This window comes from Homo sapiens, chromosome 1 (assembly GCF_000001405.40).
Source record: "Homo sapiens chromosome 1, GRCh38.p14 Primary Assembly".
In the NCBI taxonomy this organism is placed as follows: domain Eukaryota; kingdom Metazoa; phylum Chordata; class Mammalia; order Primates; family Hominidae; genus Homo; species Homo sapiens.
In genome coordinates this window covers 4630124-4653060 of record NC_000001.11, presented here as the reverse complement: position 1 = coordinate 4653060, position 22937 = coordinate 4630124, and the positions used below count along the sequence as shown (strand labels likewise).

The window sequence follows — 22937 nt, the reverse complement described above, 5'->3', positions numbered from 1 at the left end:
CGGTCTCCTCATCTGTAAGATGGGTCCCACAGCCCCTCCCCGGGGAGGTGTTTGCAGGGCTCCATGAGAAGGCCTTACACACACTGTGGCTATGGTGATCTGTGAGCCGGTCAGAGGACCCGAGAGGCAGCAGGGTGACTCAGCAGTTTCCCTGCCGGGCCGCCCCTGGGTCATCGTCCCCTAGAGCCTCTCCCTGAGGGGTGTGAGGGAGCGGATCCCATTAAGAGGCGAAGGAGGCAGGGAGGTCCTGGAACCAGCGGGGCCTATGGCGGCCGGCGGGGAAGGAGGCGCCGGCAGTGCTGCCACCTAGCGGTGTGAGGAGGCGGTGCTGCACCAGGGAGGCCCTTCCTGCAACCGGAGTGGGCCTGGAAGGGGCCGGCTTCGCACACTAGGAGCCAGCAGGGCAGGGAGGGGCTCCGGACCGGACCGTGTCGGCTCCAGGAACCCCTTGGGCAGCCTTGTGGACACCTGCTGACCTCTCTCAGAATGGCTTCTAAGTGCATAGATGAAAAAGCCCAGGATTATTAGGAAACCAATTCTATGCAAATGCATTATCAAAAGAGTAATAAAAACAAATTTCTGATATAGCCGTATATATTATTTATTAATACACTTAGTAAGCAATTGACAGATCCTAAATTACGTTCCTTTTGAAGTCCAGATATGCAGCAATAATATCCTGAGGTAACTGCAGCCATGGCAGTGTGATATGGAAATGCCAGTGCTTTCTATGTTTGACGGTCACAGGCACTGAGCTCTGCCACCGACATTGATAATGAAAGGAAATGCCAAGTCTCAGTTAGGGTTAAATAAAGATGCCAGTTTTCCCCCATACGAGTTGAAAGACCCTTTGAATTCTATCCAAGTACCCTGGGAATCTCTGGACAAAGAAAATAGTAGAAGGAAGTGTTTTCTGACAACCGAGATGGGAACAAGCCCTGCAGAAGTCTCCAGGCGAAGTCAGAGCCTTAAGACTACAGCTGCTGCCCCGGGTGAGTGAGGGCTTCTTCAGTCTATGGGGACGGAGGATGCCCTCTGCCCTCACCCAGGCTTAAAATTAGGATTTGGGACCAGGGTACACTGATTTCCTTTTTCTCTAGGGTAACTCAGGTCTGCCTCTCTCCAAAAAGAGCAATCCACCTATTATTATTATTATTATTATTATTATTATTATTATTGAGATGGAGTCTCACTCTGTCACCTGGGCTGGAGTGCAATGGCATGATCTCAGCTCACTGCAACCTCTGCCTCCCAGGTTCTCCTGTCTCAGCCTCCTGTCTCAGCCTCCCGAGTACCTGGGATTACAGGTGTGCACCACCACGCCCGGCTAATTTTTGTATTTTTAATAGAGACAAGGTTTCACCATGTTGGTCAGGCTGGTCTCGAACTCCTGACCTCAGGTTATCCACCCACCTTGGCCTCCCAAAGTGCTGGGATTGTAGGCCTGAACCACCGCGCCCAGCTTATTATTATTATTTCGATGACAAAATCATTGTCTTTTTTTTTTTTTACAGACTGTAAAACGACAAAACCTTAACTTGCATTTCAGCATTTCTAGAACTGGTTTTCTATACATTGATGGCTCTCATATTTCTAACTGGTTCATTTTTCTTCCCTTGGGGATTGGGAAGCTGTGTGTATGTCACTCCCACCCAACACACACACACACACGCGTGTGCGCGCGCACACACACACACACACGCCTCCCAGCTTCGGCGATACAAAAGGGAACTGTTCAGATGTTCATGCTGTGGAAAGTTCTTCCGGTCACCCTGCTAATTCTGGCCCTTTCTCCCCGCTGGGGGAAGTCCACAGCCTGGAACCCTGGGGAACCCCTGCGGTCTCCTCACCTAGTCCCCTCCCCTATTTTCCCAACAAAGGAGCCAGCAGGCCCCTGCAGGAGGTCCTCTTTGAAGCTCTCTGAGGCCATTTATCTAATGGCCTTCACAGACTTGACTATTTTTAAAACCCATCCAAAGCCAAATTGAGCTGCCATTGTTCATTTTTCTCCCAAGGAGGTAAATGTGTCTTAACCATGACATTTGATTAAGTAGCTAAGTTTGTGATTTTAAATGGAAGGGAAAATGCTGATTAAAATTATTATAAGTTTCTTGAAAGCATTCACAGGAGTGTCTTCCCTGACTCTCCTATCTTCCTGGCTACCCCCCTCCCAGTAAAACTTGCAGGAAGCTCATGGTTGTCGGGGGCAGGGGGAGTGACGCAAAGTCGCTTTTCCTTCTCAGGGAGGTTATATGCTGGAGATTTGGGGTTTCCTCCCCCTGGCACCTGAGCTGTTTCCTGGGTGAGGCTGCACACAGCTGCACTACACGCATAGCTGAGCGCAAGGCAGAGACCAAGCCTTGGGGCAGAGGTGGGAGCCAAGAAGCTGTACTCCCACCCACAAAATGACTCACAAGACAATCATCCTGCAGCCCAGCACTGGCCGGCAAGAGAAAATGCCAGGTCTGAACTGCCTGTGAAAGTGTACCCATGCATCAGAGAGAGGAAGACGGGATTCCTTGGCTTGCTCTGAGCAAGTGATAGCCTCCGGGTACAGATGGAAAGAGGGCCACCTAAGAATTTGATCTGGCCCAGAATGGAGAAAAACTCTCATCTCAAGGCTTTTATGGATCTTCTGTATTGATCAGTTTGCCTCTTCTATTTAGATAGAGAGGGATGAAGAAAAAGAAGGTTAATTTGCATTGCAAAGTAAAGTGACACAATTTGAAAGCAGTTGCCTGGCATTGCTGGGATTGGAAGGTCTGGGGTGGGAAATTAGAGAGAAGAGGGGAGTCCAAGAGTAGGGTCCACACCAGGGAAGCCCCAAAGGGGAGGGCCAGGGGCATAAGGTGACCAGTGAAGCCCTTATGCTTTCTCATAACTGTGACTGGGACAAGAATCTCAGATTTCTGTCCTGTGTTGCAGCTCTGTCCTCTTCTAGAAAACCTCCACAGAAGTCAGGCTTGTGCTGCAGGTGTGTGGAGGAGTGATGGAAGAGGTGTCTCTACTGTAGGGCAGCCAGAGGGGAAGGCCGTAGTGGCCAGAGGAGCAAGAGGAAGACTTGGGACCCTCCGACTAACTTGGAAAGAAACTTAGGAAATAGGACCTTCCTTCCTCATATTATAGAGGATTCTGGACCTTGGATAGGGGACAAGCAGGAGTAAATGCAGAAATTCACACAGTCCTCAGGATGGGACTTGAGATAAATAGTTTGGATTTAAGGGAAGGGGGGAAATGGGGACATGAAAGAGTCAGGCACTTGGTTTCACATAACATCGAGAGATAACATCACTGGCCCTGAAGGTCTGGTTCTGCTAGTAGGAGAGGTGTGTGTATTCACTCATCTTGTTGACTGAGCCCTGAGTAGAGGAGGTGAGAGTATGTACTCATCTTGTTGACTGAGCCCTGAGTACAGGAGTTGGAAGTATGTACTCATCTTGTTGACTGAGCCCTGAGTACAGGAGTTGGAAGTATGTACTCATCTTGTTGACTGAGCCCTCAGTACAGGAGGTGTGAGTATGTACTCATCTTGCTGACTGAGCCCTGAGTAGAGGTGAGAGTATGTACTCATCTTGTTGACTGAGCCCTGAGTAAAGGGGGTGAGAGCTGCACTCATCTTGTTGACTGAGTCCTGAGTATGGGAGGTGAGAGTATGTATTCATCTTGTTGGCTGAACTCTGAGTACAGGAGGTGGGAGTATGTACTCATCTTGTTGACTGAGCCCTGAGTATGAGAGGTGAGAGCTGCACTCATCTTGTTGACTGAACCCTGATTAGAGGAGGTGAGAGTGTGTACTCATCTTGTTGACTGAGGCCTGAGTACAGGAGGTGGGAGTATGTACTCATCTTGTTGACTGAGTCCTGAGTAGAGGAGGTGAGAGCATGTACTCATCTTGTTGACTGAGCCCTGAGTACAGGAGGTGGAAGTATGTACTCATCTTGTTGACTGAGCCCTAAGTACAGGAGGCGAGGGTATGTACTCATCTTGTTGACTGAGCCCTAAGTAGGGGAGGTGAGAGTATATACTCATCTTGCTGACTGAGCCCTGAGTACAGGAGGTAAGAACAGGCACTCATCATGTTGACTGAGCCTTAAGGGGGTAAAGAAAGTGCTAGTGAATGAGGGTCACTGGGAACAATCATGGCCTGGGAAGAGGAGCTCCCAAAATGGATGACGTGCAAGCAGGTAGAGCTGGAGGTCTGACCTGGGAGCAGCCAACCAGGTTCTGGAGACCATCAGCTCCATGCAGAAGTGGCAAAGCTGGACACCAGCTTTGAGCCTGGGCTATCGATGCCTCTTCCAAGTCAATTCATAAACCACATCAGCCAGCTTGCACTAGATTATATTGCAACAACAAACAACCCCCAGAATTGGCTTAACTCAACAAAGGTCAATTTCTTGTTCATGCTTACAAACTCCAACAGCAGGCATCTGCCCTGCTCCATGCTGTCTTCATCCTGTTACCCAACCTGAAGGAGTTGCTCTTACCTGGGACATCCCAGTCACATAGCACAGGGCAAGGAATCAAGGCAGAACCATGCCATAGCCCTTGTGGCTTCTGCTGGGAGGAGGCATATGTCACATCCACTCACATTTCATTGGCAAAGCAAGTCACAGGGCCAGGCTGATGTTGGGTGGGGAGTGAGAAAGTGTAAACCTCACACAGGGAGGATACGGGACACTGCACCGTCATACAATCTTCTACACTCACGGGCACCAACAACTCGAGAAGATAATGTATGTCTTGTTTTTCTCAGGCCCCTAAACTTGATAATGTCAGAATTTGTGAGAAAGAAGAAGCATGTTTCCCATGAAGCATGCTGAGTTTGCATCCCTTCTTCTGCCTCCAAAGCTCAACATAGATCCTTGATCAATGAGGTGGACACCAGAGGCGGGGACTTGTAAATAACACTGGGCTGTAGGAGTGATGGGGTTCACCTCTAATTCTAAGATGGCTAGATAATGCATCTTTCAGGGTTGTGCTTCTATCTAGAAGGTAGAGCTGTGGTCGTTCAATAAAAGTCCTCAAGAGGTTGGTTAATACGCATGTTTAATAGTACAGTATGGTGACTATAGTCAACAATAATTTATTGTACATTTTTAAATAGCTAGAAGAAAAGCATTGGGAAGTTTCCAACATGAAGAAAAGATAAATGGTCAAGGGAATGGATATCCTAATTACCCTGATTTGATCATTATGCATTATATACATGAATCAAAATATCACACATACCTTCAAACTATGTACAAATATTATATACCAATAAAAAATCATCATCATCATCTCCATCATCACCACCCTCCTCCTCATCACCACCAGCATCACCACCATCATCACCACCACCATCATCACCACCACCACTGCCATCATCATCACCACCACTGTGCCATCATCATCACCACCACTGTCATTATCACCACCACCATCATCACCAACACCACTGCCATCGTCATCACCACCACTGTCATTATCACCACCACCATCACCAACATCACCACCACCATTATCACCACCATCAACACCACCACCCCCATCATCATCATCACTACTACCATCATTACCAGCACCACCACCACTATCACCACCACCACCACAATCACCATCACCACTATCATCAACATCATCACTACCACCATCACCAACACCACCATCATTATCACCACCACCACCATCACCAACATCACCACCATCATCATCACCACCATCACCAAGACCATCATCATCACCATCACCACCAACATCACCACCATCACCAACACCACCATCACCACCACCACCACCATCATCACCACCACCACCATCATCATCACCACCACCGCCATCATCATCGCCACCACCATGACCACCACCATCACAACCATCACCACCATCACAACCACCATCATCACTATCGCTATCACCACCATCACCATTACCACCACCATTACTACAACCATGACCATCACCACCATCACCACCACCATCACAACGATCACCATCACAGCCACCATCATCACCACCACCACCACCACCATCACCATCAAACCATCGGCATTATTATTTTTTTAGAATTTTGTTGGGATTCAGTATCTGCCAAGATACCCATTCTTAAAACATGAAAAAGCAGCTGACCCTCCTGTGGCCCCCTTTTTGGGCAGTCATTGCAGGACCTCATCCCCAAGCAGCAGCTCTGGTGGCATACAGGCAACCCACCACCAAGGTAGAGGGTAATTGAGCAGAAAAGCCACTTCCTCCAGCAGTTCCCTGTCTGAGCTGCTGTCCTTGGACTTGAAGAAGCTTCTGGAACATGCTGGGGAGGAAGGAAGACATTTCACTTATTGAGTGGCCTGATGCAGAACAGAGACCCAGCTGGTTCACTCTAGTTCGGACTAAAACTCACCCCTGTCTATAAGCATCAGCCTCGGCAGGATGCATTTCACATTTGTGATCTCATTTAACCTCCACAAAGACCCAGAAGGGTTGGTAACATTATCATACCTAGGCCTACTATTTTAAAAATCTAACACCCATGCAGCCCGGGCACTGAAGTGGAGGCTGGCCACGGAGAGAGCCAGGCAATCACTGGCTTTTCCTTAGACAGAGAGCTGGTTCCTAGGAGAAGAAGCTCCAGGCTGGGGTCCAGGCTATGACCCAACTGTTCAGTTTTGCAACATCCAGCATGGCTGCCTGATCAGGGGTGCATATGTCAGAGGAGCCTTCAGCTGGGAAGTGCTGACAAATGACCCAGACCTGACCTGCCCGATGCCAAGGCCTCCTTTAGTACATCCCATGGAGGACACTTGAGACAAAGTCACAGCTCAGCCCGTTGATTTCCCATGCTCTGACTGTGCGGTGCAGCAGGACCCCTAGCAGGCAGCATGTGTTCAAGGCAGCGATATCCAAATGCTATGAATTGCTGTCCTGATGGTTATTTTCCTGCATACAGTAGAGCTGATCCCTGTACAATGCTGGTCCTAAATCTCACCTTTGACAGTGCGCTGATGTGCAATGTTTGCTTTTGTTTTATTTGATGGAACATGGCTAATTGCTAAGAAGGTGACATGCTGCCCACTGACCACCCAATGTTCATTCTCCTCTTCTTCCTTACTAACAAAACTGCGGTGGTGGTGGTGAGGAGAGGGAGGGGGTATAACAAATGTGCCAAGCCAAGAGTTTATATTTGCAAGCCTCTCTTATACCTAGAGTTGATCGTGACACAGCTCTGGCCAATGATGTGTAAGCAGAAGTTGCTTGATGTGACTTCTGGCAAAGCTCTTAAGGAGAGGACTGACCTGTTTCCACATATCTTTTTCCTTTCCGTGTCCTTAGTCCTGGCTGGGATGCAGATGAGATGCAAAAGGTGGAGCAGCCATGTTGTCATCAGGCAGTAACAGGTCTGAGGGTAGAAGCTGCATTCTGATAATACCAGGGAAAAATAATACAAGTAGTCTAGGGCCCAGAGATATCACAGATGTCCATTTGAACCCCAAATTACCTGTCTCCAGATTTGCTATCAGGCAAGAAAAGGAAATCTTTCATTAGTTTAAGCTGTAGTTTACTCCAGTTTTCTATAACTTTCGGCCAGATATAACCCTAAATTGACAAAGGGGGCAAGTGCTTAACTGCAAAGCAGTTAAAACTCAAACACAGGCCTTCATTTCTTCAGGGTTTTAGTTTTTTCTAGGGAAGAATCTTAACTACTGCTACTAAAAGTTATAGTAGGCCAGGGATGGTGACTCACGCCTGTAATCTCAGCACTTTGGAAGCCCAGGCAGGTGGATCACCTGAGGTCAGGAGTTCAAGACCAGCCTGGCCAACGTGGTGAAACCCCATCTCTACTAAAAATACAAAAATTAGCCAGGCATGATGGTGCATGCCTGTAGTCACACCTACTCAGGAGGCTGAGTCAGGAGAATAGCTTGACCCAGGAGGCAGAGGTGGCAGTGAGCCAAGATCGCACCACTGCACTCCAGCCTGGGCGACAGAGCAAGACTCTGTCTCAAAAAAAAAAAAGTCATAATCAAAGAGGAAGACTGAGATAAATGTAGAGTCAAAGGGCTAAACAGAAACATAACACATGGGTTTTAAGCTAAGCCTTCACATTATCCCTTATACAATTTTATCTACACCGATTTCACCAAAGCTCAAAGTTATATTATTGGCTGAGATTGGCATTGGGATGGAGTGGTGAAGCTAAGAAATTCGTTATCCCTTTGTTCCAGTGCTGCTGGACTTTTCACTAAGTGAAGAGGTAAATGCTGAGTCTCCCAGGAGGCTGACTCCTCCTGGCTCTGGGTGTGCATTCTGATGAAGGTTCTTTATTGTAGGCACCAACAGAAGGCTCATGAGAGGGCAACATGGATCTCCATTTCTGAGCAGATGTTTAAACGCTGAATCAGGTCCAAGGCTTCCCAAATGAACTCAAGGAGTTTCTTTTTCCCAAGCCATAGAAAGTGGCGATAGCAATCCAGGGTCTGCACTGGGAAGGAGCACTGCCAGGACACGTCCCTCCCTGCCATTCCCCCACCCTCGCCCAGGAGACGTCCCTCCCTGCCACCACACAGGACACATCCCTCCTTGCCATCCCACCCCCCTTCCCAGGACACGTCCCTCCCTGCCATCCCATCCCATTCCCCCACAAGGACACGTCCCTCCCTGTCATCCCACCCCCCTTCTCAGGACACATCCTTCCCTGCCATCCCACACCCCCCCCAGGACACGTCCCTCCCTGCCATCCCACGCCTCCCCCCAGGACACATCCCTCCCTGCCATCCCACCCCGCCCCCCAGGACACACAGGTCCGTGAAATCAGTATAGACACTTGTATCAAGCAAGAAGAAGCATGTTACTCAGAAGAACACAATTTTGTTGTTTTGTTTTTGTTTCTGGGTTTTGGTTGTTTTTTTTGTTTTTTTTTTTGGGGAATTAAACAAATAATTTCAAGTTCTACCTCCACCACCTACCAGCTGCATGATCTTAGACCATTGACATCACCTCCCTGACCGTGATTTTCACATCTAGAGAATGGGAGGGGAAGAACCATGCCTTGGGGGCCAGGCTGAGGATGAACTATGAAAACCCGTCCTATTGGGCACTCTCGAACAGTCACCATTGTTGGTATGAGGCCCACTATCAGTGAAACTGATTGAAATTGGTGTACATCTGAGACCTGAGGACAGCCATCAAGTGTCTATTAACTTAAGCTTTATGTAGCAAGCATTTATTGCACATGATCCTAGGTCCCAAGTATGCTTCGGTAAATTAAACACCCTTGGTCCCTGCCCTCACAAGCCGTTCATAATCTAGACAGATACATAAGATATAAATGCACAATTGTTCATTGAAAATCTCCGAAGTCACTGGCTATTTTCTGTGGTTCTCGGCACCATCACCACCCTTCCAAATTCTCTCCTGTTCTCAGGGGTTAGAAACCTGCAAACTACATTCCCTAGACTTCCTTGCCTGTAGGAGCAAAATGATCCCATGTATTACTGCGAAATGGTAGTGTCTGGGTCCCAGAAGACAGTTAGTAGAATCAGAATGTAGGAAAGTGTGTGCCACAGCCACACATGTTCATGATAGTCATAACTTGTTCAGTAGGAATTTAGAGAAGACTGACTGTACACAAGGTATTGCTAAATGCTATGCGGGATACAGAGATGCCTGTGCCTCTAAGAAACTTGGTAGAAAAATAATAACCCACACATATTTGGCTTACCTTCTCTTTGAATAGAGCAATTGGCAGTTTAGATTCAGTCATTCTTCAATTCATTTAGCCAAAATTTATTCTGTGATGGCTGAATCCAACAAATGAAGTCTCTACTCTCATATTATTTTCCATTTTGTTCCACTGAATTTCAGCAAACATAGACCAGACAAGCATCCCTTTGAAACCTGGACTTGGGATGAGGGTCTGCTGAGATTGGGTTTTCTCCATGCCCAGATGCCTCTGATCAAATATCAAGTCCCAAAGATACAGATGAGAAAGTTATTAAGTGTTCTGGGATTGGGACATCGGAGATATTAATTAACCCTGGCTTGAGATGGGAAGAGGGGGCAGGTAGCTTTCTTTGTGTAGTGTTTAGGAAGGTGATTGCCAATCTAGGAGAAGTGAGTTCCCCAGAGGGAGGGGGGCTCTTGGCCAGCAGGGTGACCCATATGTTCTGGTCTGCCTGGAGCTGTGGTCCTTGGGTTCACAGCGGCCCCTTTGCACTCAAAGCACCCTAGCTTGGACAATAAATTCTACAGTCAGTTCTGCAGTGACGATCTTCAATTCCTAGGGCTGCCATAAGAGAAGATCATAGACTAGGGGTGGTACACGACAGAAATTCATCTTCTCCCAGTTCTGGAGCCTGAAAATCCAAAACAAGGTGCTGTCAGGGTTGGATTCTCCTTGGGCCTCTCTTCTTGGCTTGCAGGTGGCTGTCTTCTGGCTGTGTCCTCGTGTGTCCCCAACATCCCCCTGTGTGTGTGTGCAACCCTTATGTCTCTTCCTCTGCTCATAAGAAAACAGTCCTATAGGACTAGGACCACATTCTTATGGCCTCATTTAACCTTAATTACCTCCTTTAGGGCCCTGTCTCCAAATATGTTCAGTGGAGGTTTGGGGCTTTGGCATATGAGTCTTTGGAGGCCACAGTTCTGTCCAGAACACACTGACCCTATCCACCAGGTACTGCCACACCAATGGCTTTCAGCATTAGACAGAGCCCCCCTGGGCTCTGTAACCCCACCCAGGGTGTTAAGAATGAGGAGTGAAAGTCCACACATGTACACACATGTTAATAGCAGCATTATGCGCAACAGTCAAACAGTGGACACACCCAAATGCCCATCAGTGGATGATGGATACATGCAAGGTGATTTATCCAGACAGTGGCATCATATTCTGTGGCCGGAAACAGGAGGGGAACGCTGACACTTGGCACAACACGGAAGACCTTTGAAAACATATTGCAGCAGATTGAATGAAAAAACAGAGAGAAGAATCCAGCCGCCTCATATAATTTCTTTTTAACTTGCAAATGTTATTTTTAATCAAAATGTTATTTACATGGCACTGAGTGTACGGACAACCTTTGAAAACATGGTGCTGAGTGTAAGAACCAAACAGGAAAGGCCACGTGTTGTTCATTGATAGGAAATGTCCAGAATAGGATGTTCTAAAGAGACTGAGAATGGATAAGTGGCTGCTTAAGTGGGGGGGTGGAAGGAGGATAGAAGAGTGATAGCTAAAGGGCACAGTTTCTTTCTGAGGTGATGGTATGTTCCAAAATTGACATTGGTGATGGTTGCACACACTGCAGATACACCAAAATCCACCAAGTTAAATTGAAATGCACACTTTACACTATTGAATTATATACTTTAAGTGGCTGAATTGTATAGCATATGAATTACATTTCAATAAAGCCTTTTAAATAAATCATGCATGGGTAAAATGTCCACTCAAAGTAAGATAAACCAGCGCATTGTAATGTAATAGAGTACAAAATGCATGGGTATGGAATTCCACTTACAACCCATCATTAATCAACCACTACTTATCAAAGAAACCCCAACTTGTCAAATTTCAGTGTGATGTCAAACAAGATACCCAGTGTTACCTGAGAAGGCTAGTAAGACACTCATCTCTTTTCAAACTACTTGGAAGTATGAGGCCAGGTTCTTTTCCTATTCTTCAACCAAAACAATGTATTGCAACAGATTGAATGAAAAAAACAGAGAGAAGAATCCAGCTGCCTCATGTAATTTCTTTTTAATTTGGAAATGGTATTTTTAATCAAAATGTTATTTACATTAGCAATAATAATTTTTTTTAAAAAAGAATGAGGCTTGAGACGGAGACTCAGTGGCTGTGTCTACCGGCCTCAGTTGTAAAACAAGCACTGTTCATCCCGAGCCGACATAGCTGCTCATTCACTCATTCAAAAATAATCTTTGAACACCCGCTCTGTGATGAGGTGATGATGATGATGACGATGATGATGGTATCAGTACTGGCTAATATAATAAACTAGCTACTATGTGCCAAATGGTTTCTCAATCTGAGCCATTTAACCCCCACAGCAGCCCTGGAAAGTAAGAATCGTTACTAGCTCTAGGAGGCAGCCCCAGGGATAGGTCTGCGGTGCGTGTTCCAGAGTCGGGAGCCCTGGCCGAGGTCTGCGCTGGCTTTTTCCTCCCTGGGTGACCTGCACAAGAGGCAGGAGGTTAGCTGTCTGCTGCTACGGCTAACACACAGGCTCTCCTCATGGGGCTTGGGGAGGTGGATAAATTACTGTTCCTAATGTTTTTAGTGTGACTGAAGTGCTGGCCACTCAGTCACTCGTTTGCCCTTTCACTCATTCATTCATTCCTTCATTCAGTGATATATGAAGTGCCCACCGTGAGCCAGAGTGAGACGCTTTCCTGAGATCCCAGGATTTCTTAAACAAAATACACAAAGCACTTACGTAAAAGATCGATACACTGATTGCATTAAAATTAAGAACTTCTGTTTATCAAAAATTCCTTCAAGAAAATGAAGACAAGCTACAAACTGGGAGAAGATATTTCCAACATGTGTAATTGAAAAAACATTAATATTAATTATATATATATATGTGTACGTATATAATGTGTATATATGTGTGTGTGTGTATGTATATTTTCATATTTAAAACCAGACATCATTAATGCAAAGATAAATGCACCAATCAGAAAGTGAACAAAAATATAGAAACAGACATTTCACAAGAGAGAAAATATAGCTGGCCAATAAACATTTGAAGAAAAACCCAACTTAATTAGTAATTAGGTTAAGTGAAAAAAAGCAAGTACCGGAAGACTACATGCAGCATGATATTCTTTCTCAAAATAAAGGCTAGAAAATCAGATAAGATAAATAATATGCTCTGAGGCATCCATGTAGATATAACACAGCTATTTTCAGAGAAGGAATGATCAGCACTAACTTCTGTAGAAGTTTATAGGCACATGCAAGTTAGTTTGCTAGTTCCTGGGTGGCATGGTGGATTCATGGGAGTGCCTTGTGTTGTTAAAAATAAAGAAACTAGGCCTGGTTTGGTGGCTCATGCCTGAATCCCAACATTTTGGGAGGCTGAGAAGGAGGATTGCTTGAGCCCAGAAGTTTGAGACCAGCCTGGACAACGTGGTGAAACCCGTCTCTACAAAAATACAAAAATTAGCTGGGTGTGGTGGTGCACACCTGTGGTCCCAGCTACTTGGCAGCCTGAGGTGGGAGGTACACTTGAGGCCAGGAGGTCAAAGCTGCAATAAGCCGAGATCACCCCACTGTACTCCAGTCTTGGTGATAGAGTGAGACCCTGTCTCAAAAAAATAAATAAATAAAATAAAGAAACTAAAAATAACAACAATGATGATAATAATAATAATAGACTAGGCACAGTGGTTTACACCTGTATTCCCAGCACTTTGGGAGGCCGAGGCAGGCAGATCACTTGAGGTCAGGAGTTGAAGATCAGCCTGGCCAACATGGCGAAACCTCGCCTCTACTAAAAATACAAAATTAGGCCCGGTGCGGTGGCTCACACCTGTAATCCCTGCACTTTGGGAGGCGAGGTGGGTGGATCACCTGAGGTCAGGAGTTCGAGGCCAGCCTGGCCAACATGGCGAAACCCTGTCTCTACTAAAAAAAAAAGAAAAAGAAAAAATTAGCCAGACGTGGTGGCGGGTGCCAGTAATCCCAGCTACTTGGGAGGCTGAGGGAGGAGAATTGCTTAAACCCCGGTAGGCAGAAGTTGCAGCGAGCCGAGATCACACCACTGCACTCCAGCCTGGGTGAAACGCTCTCTCAAAAAAAAAAAAAAAAAAAAAAAAAAAAAAAAGTCAGGAATGGTGGCATGCGCCTGTAATCCCAGCTACTTAGGAGGATGAGAATCACTTGAACCTGGGAGGCAGAGGCTGCAGTGAGCCAAGATAGTGCTACTGCACTCCAGCCTGGGCAACAGAGCTAGACTCTGTCTCAAAAAAATAGTAATAATAATAGCAAAAGAGGGCCAGGCATGGCTGGCGAGTCATGAACCCAGGCGTGGCATTCCTCAAATTATGTGCACCTAAAGTCTGCGAAGGGAAACAAACAAGAATTCAAAAAGCAAGACACCCCGGGGGTTCTCTGTCCTTCCTTCCCTGCACTCAGTCTGCGTCCTGAGCAGCAACAGTGCTGACCCCATAAGCCTCGGCCAGCAGGTAAGGGTCACCTTCTCTTCCCTGCACTGAGGTTCCCAATGGAGACCAGGAAGTGAAGTGATTTCTAAGGGTTTCCTGTGAGGTCAGGAATCAAGATGGAATCATTGCCTCATCCTCTGTTAACCAGAAAATTCTCTAAGCCAAACCCTCCCATAGCCTCTGGTCTCTTCACTCAGCCGAGGGTTCCCTTGTGTTTAGAGGGCAAGGTGGGCTCTGTTTCCTCCCACTGGGATGGAGGAGTCAGAAAACTCACCTTACCCCGTTTGCCCCCGACAGTGCCACGTTACAAAAGTTGCCCAACTTCCTTAAATAATCCTGTCACTTCCTCCTCATTTGCCTCTGACGCATGAGAGCCTGGGAAACCCCAAGTCGCTTGCTGTAGGGCCTGCAGGAGGGCCTCCACCCCGACCCTGCACAGGACAGGGGAAGGGAGAACACCCAGGGAACTGAATCTTGAAACGCACAAAGGGAACACCGTACGGCCGTCTTTTCAAGGCCATTTCCCACAGAGAGCGTGCAAAAATAAGTGTCCTGGCTGGAGAGCACATTCCAGCTCCAAAGGCTCTGTTCCTTTTACTTTCTCCCGCGATTACTCTTATTTTTCTGCAGCTCAACAAGGACGGTCCGCTGATGTGAGCATCTTGTGATTTCTCCCCCAGCGCAGCCTGCCTGGCAGCTTCCTGTGCTCCCAGCACGAAGTGGAAGATGACCTTCAGCCGGAGGAGGGAGCGCAGCGCGGATTAGAAGGACATGGCGCGGGGACTGGCCTGGTTGTTGGGGCGGGGACAGAAATCCATTTCCCTCGTTTTCCTCCACGCCAGTGTGGGCCACTTCCTGAGTCTCCGCACACACCAGTGTCTGAGGTTCTCACTGACCTGCTCCAAGGTGAGGGATTCCCCGTATTTGGGGCAGAACAGACGTTCCCACCCCGCAAGGCTGCAGTGCGGGACAGACACGTGGCCCGGCCCCGAGATGCTGCAGAATGTTTGTCCTGGATTTTAACACGTTTTCGTCCCTGGTGGTCCCAGCGGCTGCTGCCAGGGACTAAAACACCTTTGTCAGATTATCAGAAGGCCCCGGGAAGGGAGGGGAGAGCCCAAGATGAGAGCACTGCTTTACCCGAGGCCCTATTTCCGCACGAGAAACTTTTCTCAGCCTGATCGCATCCCGGCTTCTAAGAAGGGCCTGGTTCAGGCTTTCAGCCTGAAGCCGGAGAGCACGAATGAGCCCTCCCCTGACTTCAAAAATAAAATCCCGGTACAGTATGATCATCATGATTATTGTTACCATTATTACCAGCACTGCAATCATTTGTGCTCTGGCCCTTTCATCCCAGAATTTCAAAGCAGAATGCTTTATAAGGAGATGGCTATTCATTTGTTCAGCGAGAGGCATCCTTTGAAAATGGAGCTTTCAGACTCTTGATGAAAAAAAAAAAAAAAAAAAAACCTCTGATTTCCACTCAGCGTGATTAACCAGACAAGGGCTTTCCTGAGAATGAATGTGTCTGTTGAGTGGGGTCCAGACAATGAGGTCAGAGGCGAGCTCCCGAAACACTCCAGGAAGCAGCACCTCGGGTGTCCAAGCTTCTGAGACTCTCTGCAGCCCCCTCCCATGGTCACCGTCTTCTGAAGGGCTGTAGGATCGAAAGTCACAGGCGCACCGGCAGCAGAGCAGCATGGCTAAGCCACAGGTTCCGGCAGGTGGCTTGGGCTCAAACCCTGGCTTTGCATCTGAAATTCCAGCTGCATGTCCTCGGGCAAGTTACTTAACTGCTCTGTGCTTCAATTGCTGCTTCCATAAAATGGGGCTAATGATAGTTTCCACCTCTTGGTGGTTCTGTTAGCTGAGTCATCATAGGCCCTGCCCTGGAAGCAGCATTGGGCACAGAATAAGCTTTCAGTAAGTTACAGTGATGGGGGCCCTCCGCCGTGGGGATGCCACTCCCTGGCTTGAAATGCAACAAGGGCTCCCTGTTGCTCTGATAGGACGCAGATCCTCCGCACAGCACCAGAGGCTCTCCAGGGCCTGGCTCCTCTTTCCTCCGGGCGTGCTCCTTGGTACTCACCATTACATCGCCCGCTCCTTCCTCAGCGCTGCCATTGCCTCGTGTGCTCGTCCCCGAAGTCCTCTGTCCACCTCACTCACCCTTAGGCCCCTGCGTCGGCCAGCACTTCATCTTGGAGAGCTCCTCCTTGTACTCATGTCCCTTGGCCAACTTGCCCCAGTCCTTCAGGACTCCTGTGAGTGTCACCTCTCCTGAGAAGTTTCCCGACTTTCCTGTTTCGATTAGCTGGATCCCCTTCCAGTGCCACAGCCCATGGCAGGGTCTCCTCCTCCCCCTCTGCCGTCATCTTTCTTTTTCTCCTCCTCCTTCTTTTTCTGTTTCTCCCACTGGACCCCTCGTTCCCAGCAGGGCAGGCCTTGCCTCTGGCCATCTCAGTGCCTGGTTCTTGCAGATGCCCAGAGGCTGCCTGGGAAGCCACTCCCGGCTCCACGAGGGGTGCTGCAGCCTCAGCGTATACTTCGGTGTTTGAGAACAAGGTGATGTCCACACTTGTCAAGGAAGCTCTTTCCCTTCTATTGGGTGTTTTCGGGGTCAGAGCAGAGACCACAGGGGAGTCACATGCTGCCTGGCTCACCAGAGGTGCTGAGTCCCTGGTTATGGAGCAGATGGATGGGTGTGTGAGAAGGTGAATGGATGGGTGTGTGTGCAGGTGGGCAGCACGGTTCATTCCAGCTGAGGCTGAAATCCCTCTTTGTCCTGCAGGCGAGGCCCCCTGGTCACCTGGTAAACTCATTCACCCGTGTCATCATAAAACCCTCCGACAAATTAACGGAAAACATAGTGACTTCTAGGGAGACCCCCAATGAGTAGACAGCTTTTTTCATTGTAGTTAAATATCGTAAGTAGCAAGTTCATTCTGGAAACATATTACATACAAAAACTGTATAGTGGTTCACAGTGATTCATGCCTGTAATCCCAGCACTTTGGGAGGCCGAAGCCAGTGGATCACTTGAGTTCAGGAATTCCAGACCAGCCTGGCCAACATGTCTCTACTAAAAATACAAAATTTAGCCAGACATGGTGGTGCTCACCTGTAGTCCCAGCTACTCAGGAGACTGAAGCAGGAGAGTCAATTGAACCTGGGAGGTGGAGGTTGCAGTGAGCCGAGATTGCGACACTGCACTCCAGCCTGGGCAACAGAGTGAGACTCTGTCTCCAGAAAAAAAAAAAAAAAAAAAAAGAATTGTACTCAACAGCAGGCCCTTGACTGCATTTGAGGTTACCCGGCTGAGAACAAGAAGGTGCTTAAACCAAGGGAAGATATTGGGTAAGGACTGTGCACTGGTGTCACCTTCAAAGGTCAAGAAGCAGCAGGATGTCTTTGTTCTTCATATTATCCATTTATTAGCTGACATATGAATTCATTTCTTTCATAAAAACTACTGCGCCTCAGCTCTGCCGTGGGGTCACCCAGTCATATGAAAACATGAACTATGTAAGAGGAAAGACATAGGCATATACTGAAAAGCTGTAAAAGAATCATGGTTTGGGATTGCACATGTCCTCTGGAGACTGCCTGGTCCCACTGCTGTTTTCAGTTACTGAACACTAGGTTGAGGCACAAGGGCACAGAGCAGCCTAGACACTAGCTTGAGGTCACACAGCATCTGCACGTGATCACTGTGCTGTGCCGCAACCCAGTCCTGCAAACTCATTTCCCCGGTGAGCAAACCTAAGGCGCTCACCAGGCTGGGAAGACAGCCTGCAATACGCCAACTGTCAGGTCACTGGCCCTCCTGGCATCCAGTCTTATGCAAATGACCAGTTAACCCCTTTATAGTCTGTCCAGGTCCACCCAGTGCAGAAGCCCCAGTGTGCCGTTTAGTATTTGTGAGCAAGAAGACACATTCCGCTTCTTGGGGAAGGGCTTCCTTTCATCTTGGACGTTGGGGATTCACAGCAGTGGCTGTGTTGTACGTCCAAACAGGGAGGAGTGGCCCAGGCTTGCAGACAGGATCTCACGAGGTTCAGCCTTTCTGAAGTCGGTACTGTAGAGACAGGCAGGTTCCCATACATTGCCTTTATGTGCCTGAAGAAGATTATGCTATTTTGGGCTCTGGAGACTTTTAAAAACAAATTAGAGACAAAGCACAATAGCTCTGGATGTCTGACTCACTCAGAAGCAAAGCAGGCCCACCTTCCACGCAAGAAGAGACCGAGGATGCAGACAGACAGGGTTCCCAGTGGGAGGACTCTGCCGCAGGAAGCAGGTGGCAACAGTTGTTTATTTTGAGCTAACACAAGCTCATCCACTGATGTCCACGGTTCTTCCCAGCACAGGTCATGTGGGTGAGGGATGAACAATGAAGCCACACCTTCTGGAAGCTGAGAGGAGGCTGGTGGGATTGGAGGGGGTGGCACCCCCAAACGTCCAATGCTGCCTGAATGTAGCGGCACTCAAGTCCTGCTGTGAGTAGGCGGCGAGGGGCTGGGCATCCCCAAGGCCTGAGCATATCCCAGGGTCCCGGGTACCCGTGGACGGCATCGGAAGTTGCTGGTTGTTCTTTGTGGTTCACAGGTTCCTAGCTGGGACAGCATCCGTGTGGGAGGAGAGCTGGGGAGAAGGCAGAGCTCTGCAGGGACAGAGGTGGGGAACCAGCTCCATGGCTGCACTGCTGGCTTCCTGCAGCCTCCCACTCCGAACAGGACTTTGACATGACAGAGATTCGTCACTTGAGCAAACTTGAGGCAGGCTCCTGATCCCCGCCTCCAGCAAGGCCCATGCCCACACTTCCCTATGAAATCCAGTTTTACCAAGAGCCCTGCTAAGTCGTTTTGGCCTGAAACCCCCACCTCCAATATCTGATTAGGTTCCTCATACCCCAGCATCCCCCAGAGGAGTCTGACCACCCCGGCCTACCTTCAGCAAGAATCCTGTTAGGTGACTCGAGCCTGAATCCCCCAGCCCCTGATGTTTCCTCCTAGTCACTTTCCATCCGTGGACCCCGCCCTGCTCCTGGGCTGTGAATCTCCACTGCCTGTGGCGTGTTTGGAGTTGATCCCGGTTCTATACCTAGGTCTCTTTCTATTGTAATTGTTCCTGAATAACATCTGTTTTTATCGCTTCAGCTACCATCCACCATGGGTTTCTTTGACAGATGGGACTCCTTGGCCCGCACTGCTCAGCACTGAGGTCCAGCCTCTGACAAGCGAAGTGCAGGCCCCCGGCGCGGGCTCCTGTGTGGATGCTTCTGCACCCTCTGCCGCACTGGGCACCCGGGGCCCAAGCCCACCTGCCCTCTGAACCATTCTCCAGGTCAGGCAGGCAGCATGCAGCCTGTGAGCTCCCTGTGAGCTGAATTAATCCACTACTTCACCACATGCATCAGGATGGACCCCCTGCTGTGGGCCGTAGGCTGTGTGCTGTGTGCTGTGTCCTGTGTGCTGTGTGCTGTGGGCTGTGGGCTGTGTGCTGTGTCCTGTGTGCTGTGTGCTGTGTGCTGTGGGCTGTGGGCTGTGTCCTGTGTGCTGTGTGCTGTGTGCTGTGGGCTGTGGGCTGTGTCCTGTGTGCTGTGTCCTGTGGGCTGTGGGCTGTGTCCTGTGGGCTGTGGGCTGTGTGCTGTGTGCTGTGTCCTGTGTGCTGTGTGCTGTGTCCTGTGTGCTGTGTGCTGTGTGCTGTGTGCTGTGGGCTGTGGGCTGTGGGCTGTGTCCTGTGGGCTGTGGGCTGTGGGCTGTGGGCTGTGTCCTGTGGGCTGTGGGCTGTGTGCTGTGTGCTGTGTGCTGTGTGCTGTGGGCTGTGGGCTGTGTCCTATGTGCTGTGTCCTGTGGGCTGTGGGCTGTGGGCTGTGTCCTGTGTGCTGTGTGCTGTGGGCTGTAGGCTATGGGCTGTGTCCTGTGTGTGTGCTGTGTGCTGTGTGCTGTGTGCTGTGTGCTGTGTGCTGTGTGCTGTGTGCTGTGTGCTGTGTGCTGTGTGCTGTGTGCTGTGTGCTGTGTGCTGTGTGCTGTGTGCTGTGTGCTGTGTGCTGTGTGCTGTGTGCTGTGTGCTGTGGGCTGTGTGCTGTGTGCTGTGTGCTGTGTGCTGTGTGCTGTGGGCTGTGGGCTGTGGGCTGTGGGCTGTGTCCTGTGGGCTGTGGGCTGTGTGCTGTGTCCTGTGTGCTGTGTGCTGTGTGCTGTGTGCTGTGGGCTGTGGGCTGTGTCCTGTGTGCTGTGTCCTGTGGGCTGTGGGCTGTGGGCTGTGGGCTGTGTCCTGTGTGCTGTGTGCTGTGTCCTGTGTGCTGTGGGCTGTGGGCTGTGTCCTGTGTGCTGTGTCCTGTGTGCTGTGGGCTGTGGGCCATGGGTCATGGGGCTGTGGGCTGCATGCTATGGGCTGTGGGCTGCTTGCCAGGCACTTAGGAACCGAGGCACAGCATGAGTGAGTCCCTGCCTTCAGGAAATGTCTGGTCTGGTGTGAGAACAGGCGCGTAGACACTCAGTCATAGTGCAGGCATTGTAGGGTTTGGCATAGCTACGGATCATACAGAGATCATCTCCTCATGTGGCAGCATGAAAAATGTCCCCCAAAGATGTCCACGTCCTCATCCCAGAGCCTCACATGGCATAGGGCCTTTTTGGGTGGGATTAATGTAAGGATCTTGAGGTGTGGATTTATCCTGGAGTAGTCAGGGTTGTGGGGAGTGATGCCATCACAGAGGTCTTTGTAAGAGGCAGACGGGAGGGTCAGAGGCAGAGGGGGAGACAGAAGGAGGAAGCAGCGGTGAGGGAGAGAAGGAAAGATGCTGGACTGCTGGCTTTGAAGACGGAGGAGGGGGCCATGGGCCAAGGATTGCCGGCGGCCTCTGGCAGCTGGGAAAGGTAAAGAGAAGGAGGCTCCTCTGGACCCTCCAGGAGCCAGTGCTGCTGACACCAGAATTCTGGGACTTCTGGCCTCTAGAAATGTAAGAATACATTTGTGCCATGTTGAGTCTCTAAGTTTATGGAGACCCCAATTTTGATACAGCAGTCATAGGACACAAATACCTCATTCCCCGACCCCCACCAACAGTCTGTGGATGAAAGAAAACAGGGTCATGAGCTGGAGAGCAAGCAGAAGAGGAGGGTGCACGTGGATACTTTAAAATCTTTACTGGGTTGGAGGGGGTGACCTCTGAGCAGAGGCTTGATGGGTGAGGAGGGGCCAGCCCAGGGCCGTGGAGGTCTGAAAAGTCAGCGAGAGCCAAGGCTAGTGTGCAGTCAGCAGCACAGTCTGAGGCTGTGCCCAGAGCGACTGGCTCCACCCCCTGTCCTGGTTCAGGTGCTTTTGTTCTTCTTATGGTCCAGCACCAGATGTCATCCCATGACCCCCAGCCCAGAGCCCCGCCCCTGACTGCACAAAGCTCTTTCTTGGATTGCCCCAACCCCCTCCTAGCCTGGGTGGTGAGAGAGAGCTCCAAGGGTATGGTCTGGCCTTGGGAGTGGGGGGTCCAGCAGAGCTCCCCATGTAGTAAAGAATGTGGCCTGGCCTGCAGAGAGGTCTGCCCTTGTCCTCGGCTTCTGGGAGGGGCTTTGTTGAGACTGTGGCGGTGCCAGATCTTCAGGTGGGGTTGACCATGCCAGAAAGACCAGCCCCGTGGCTCAATCATCAATCAGTCTTGCACACGGAATGGAGCCCCGATGAAGCCCCGGACACTGGGACTCAGGGGAGCTCACCAGCTTGGTGGTGCTCCATGCCTCTTGTGACACCTCGATGCCAAGAATGTGACATATCCTGACTCCACAGGGAGAGGACACCGGCAGCCTCAGGTCTGGAGTCCCCGGCCCCAGCCCCGTTTCCTCCTTGGGTTGACTTGATCTGTGTCCTTTCCTGTGATAAACCATGGCTATGAGTAGAACAGCTTTCAGTGGACACTGAGTCTTTCTAGCAAGTTAGGAAACCTCAGGATGTTTGGGGAAATCCCCCAAGCTTTGCGCTTTGCAGTCCATGTCAGAAGTGCAGTTAATGGTCACCTGCATGAGACCAGGTCCCCTAAACTTTGCAGTTTGCCTAGCTCTGGGTAGACTTTTCCATCCTGGAGGGGTAACCCTGGGGTCTCGCAGGCCCAGCAATTCACTGCAGGCCCCAAGTGCTGACCTGCTTGGCTGGGTCTGACCGTGCTGGTTGTCCTCAGCTCTCCCACCCCAAGAAGGGCTCGAGAACTGAGGTAGCTGAACAACCGCTTTCACGTTCCGGGTCCTTTGCTATTAGTTGTTATGGCTTTGAGTTTTCTATCAAATGTGAGAAAGTCAGCTGCACTGGTTGACCACCTCAAAAATGCAAATTGGTGTAATTTCAGTCAATACATGCGCACTGGGCATTAAAAATGCAAATTTCCTGCTGTGCAGAGAGCAAGAAAGTACAGCACCTTGTTTAGGAACAAAACTCAGGATGGCAAGAGAACCTTTCCTCTTCCCCAAATGGATATTAGGTCCTTCTCTGGGACAGAGGACGAGGGTGTGGCCACAGCTCTAGGTAAGGGACCTCAGATGCATCTCATGGCCCCAGCTTAGTCTGTACTGTTATTAAAAAACAAACAGACAGATGCTGGCACTGTGGCCAGCCAAGCAGGCCAGCCCTGCAGCCCCTTTAAATCAGAGGGAAAGATAATCGCTTCCACACCCTAATTTCTTTCTTGATTCTCTTCCACTTTCCTTTCTCATCTGAGCCCACAGTGAGAACCGTTGTGCTGGGTGGGGCCTCCAACTCCCACATGGGAGCAGAAGTGA

The 22937-nt window shown here is 49.5% G+C and overlaps 4 annotated features.

Annotated features, from left to right (window-relative positions):
• Nucleotides 412-461: an enhancer, noted in NCBI's record as "active region_69". NCBI's record gives its function as "activates an Ori minimal core promoter by ATAC-STARR-seq in GM12878 lymphoblastoid cells {active_cell/tissue: GM12878}" and the evidence as "EXISTENCE:reporter gene assay evidence [ECO:0000049][PMID:35858748]".
• Nucleotides 14457-15068: an enhancer, noted in NCBI's record as "H3K4me1 hESC enhancer chr1:4698053-4698664 (GRCh37/hg19 assembly coordinates)". NCBI's record gives its function as "activates a minimal SCP1, AML or CMV promoter by ChIP-STARR-seq in naive H9 embryonic stem cells {active_cell/tissue: H9 hESC(naive)}" and the evidence as "EXISTENCE:reporter gene assay evidence [ECO:0000049][PMID:30033119]".
• Nucleotides 15069-15680: an enhancer, noted in NCBI's record as "H3K4me1 hESC enhancer chr1:4697441-4698052 (GRCh37/hg19 assembly coordinates)". NCBI's record gives its function as "activates a minimal SCP1, AML or CMV promoter by ChIP-STARR-seq in naive H9 embryonic stem cells {active_cell/tissue: H9 hESC(naive)}" and the evidence as "EXISTENCE:reporter gene assay evidence [ECO:0000049][PMID:30033119]".
• Nucleotides 16293-16906: an enhancer, noted in NCBI's record as "H3K4me1 hESC enhancer chr1:4696215-4696828 (GRCh37/hg19 assembly coordinates)". NCBI's record gives its function as "activates a minimal SCP1, AML or CMV promoter by ChIP-STARR-seq in naive H9 embryonic stem cells {active_cell/tissue: H9 hESC(naive)}" and the evidence as "EXISTENCE:reporter gene assay evidence [ECO:0000049][PMID:30033119]".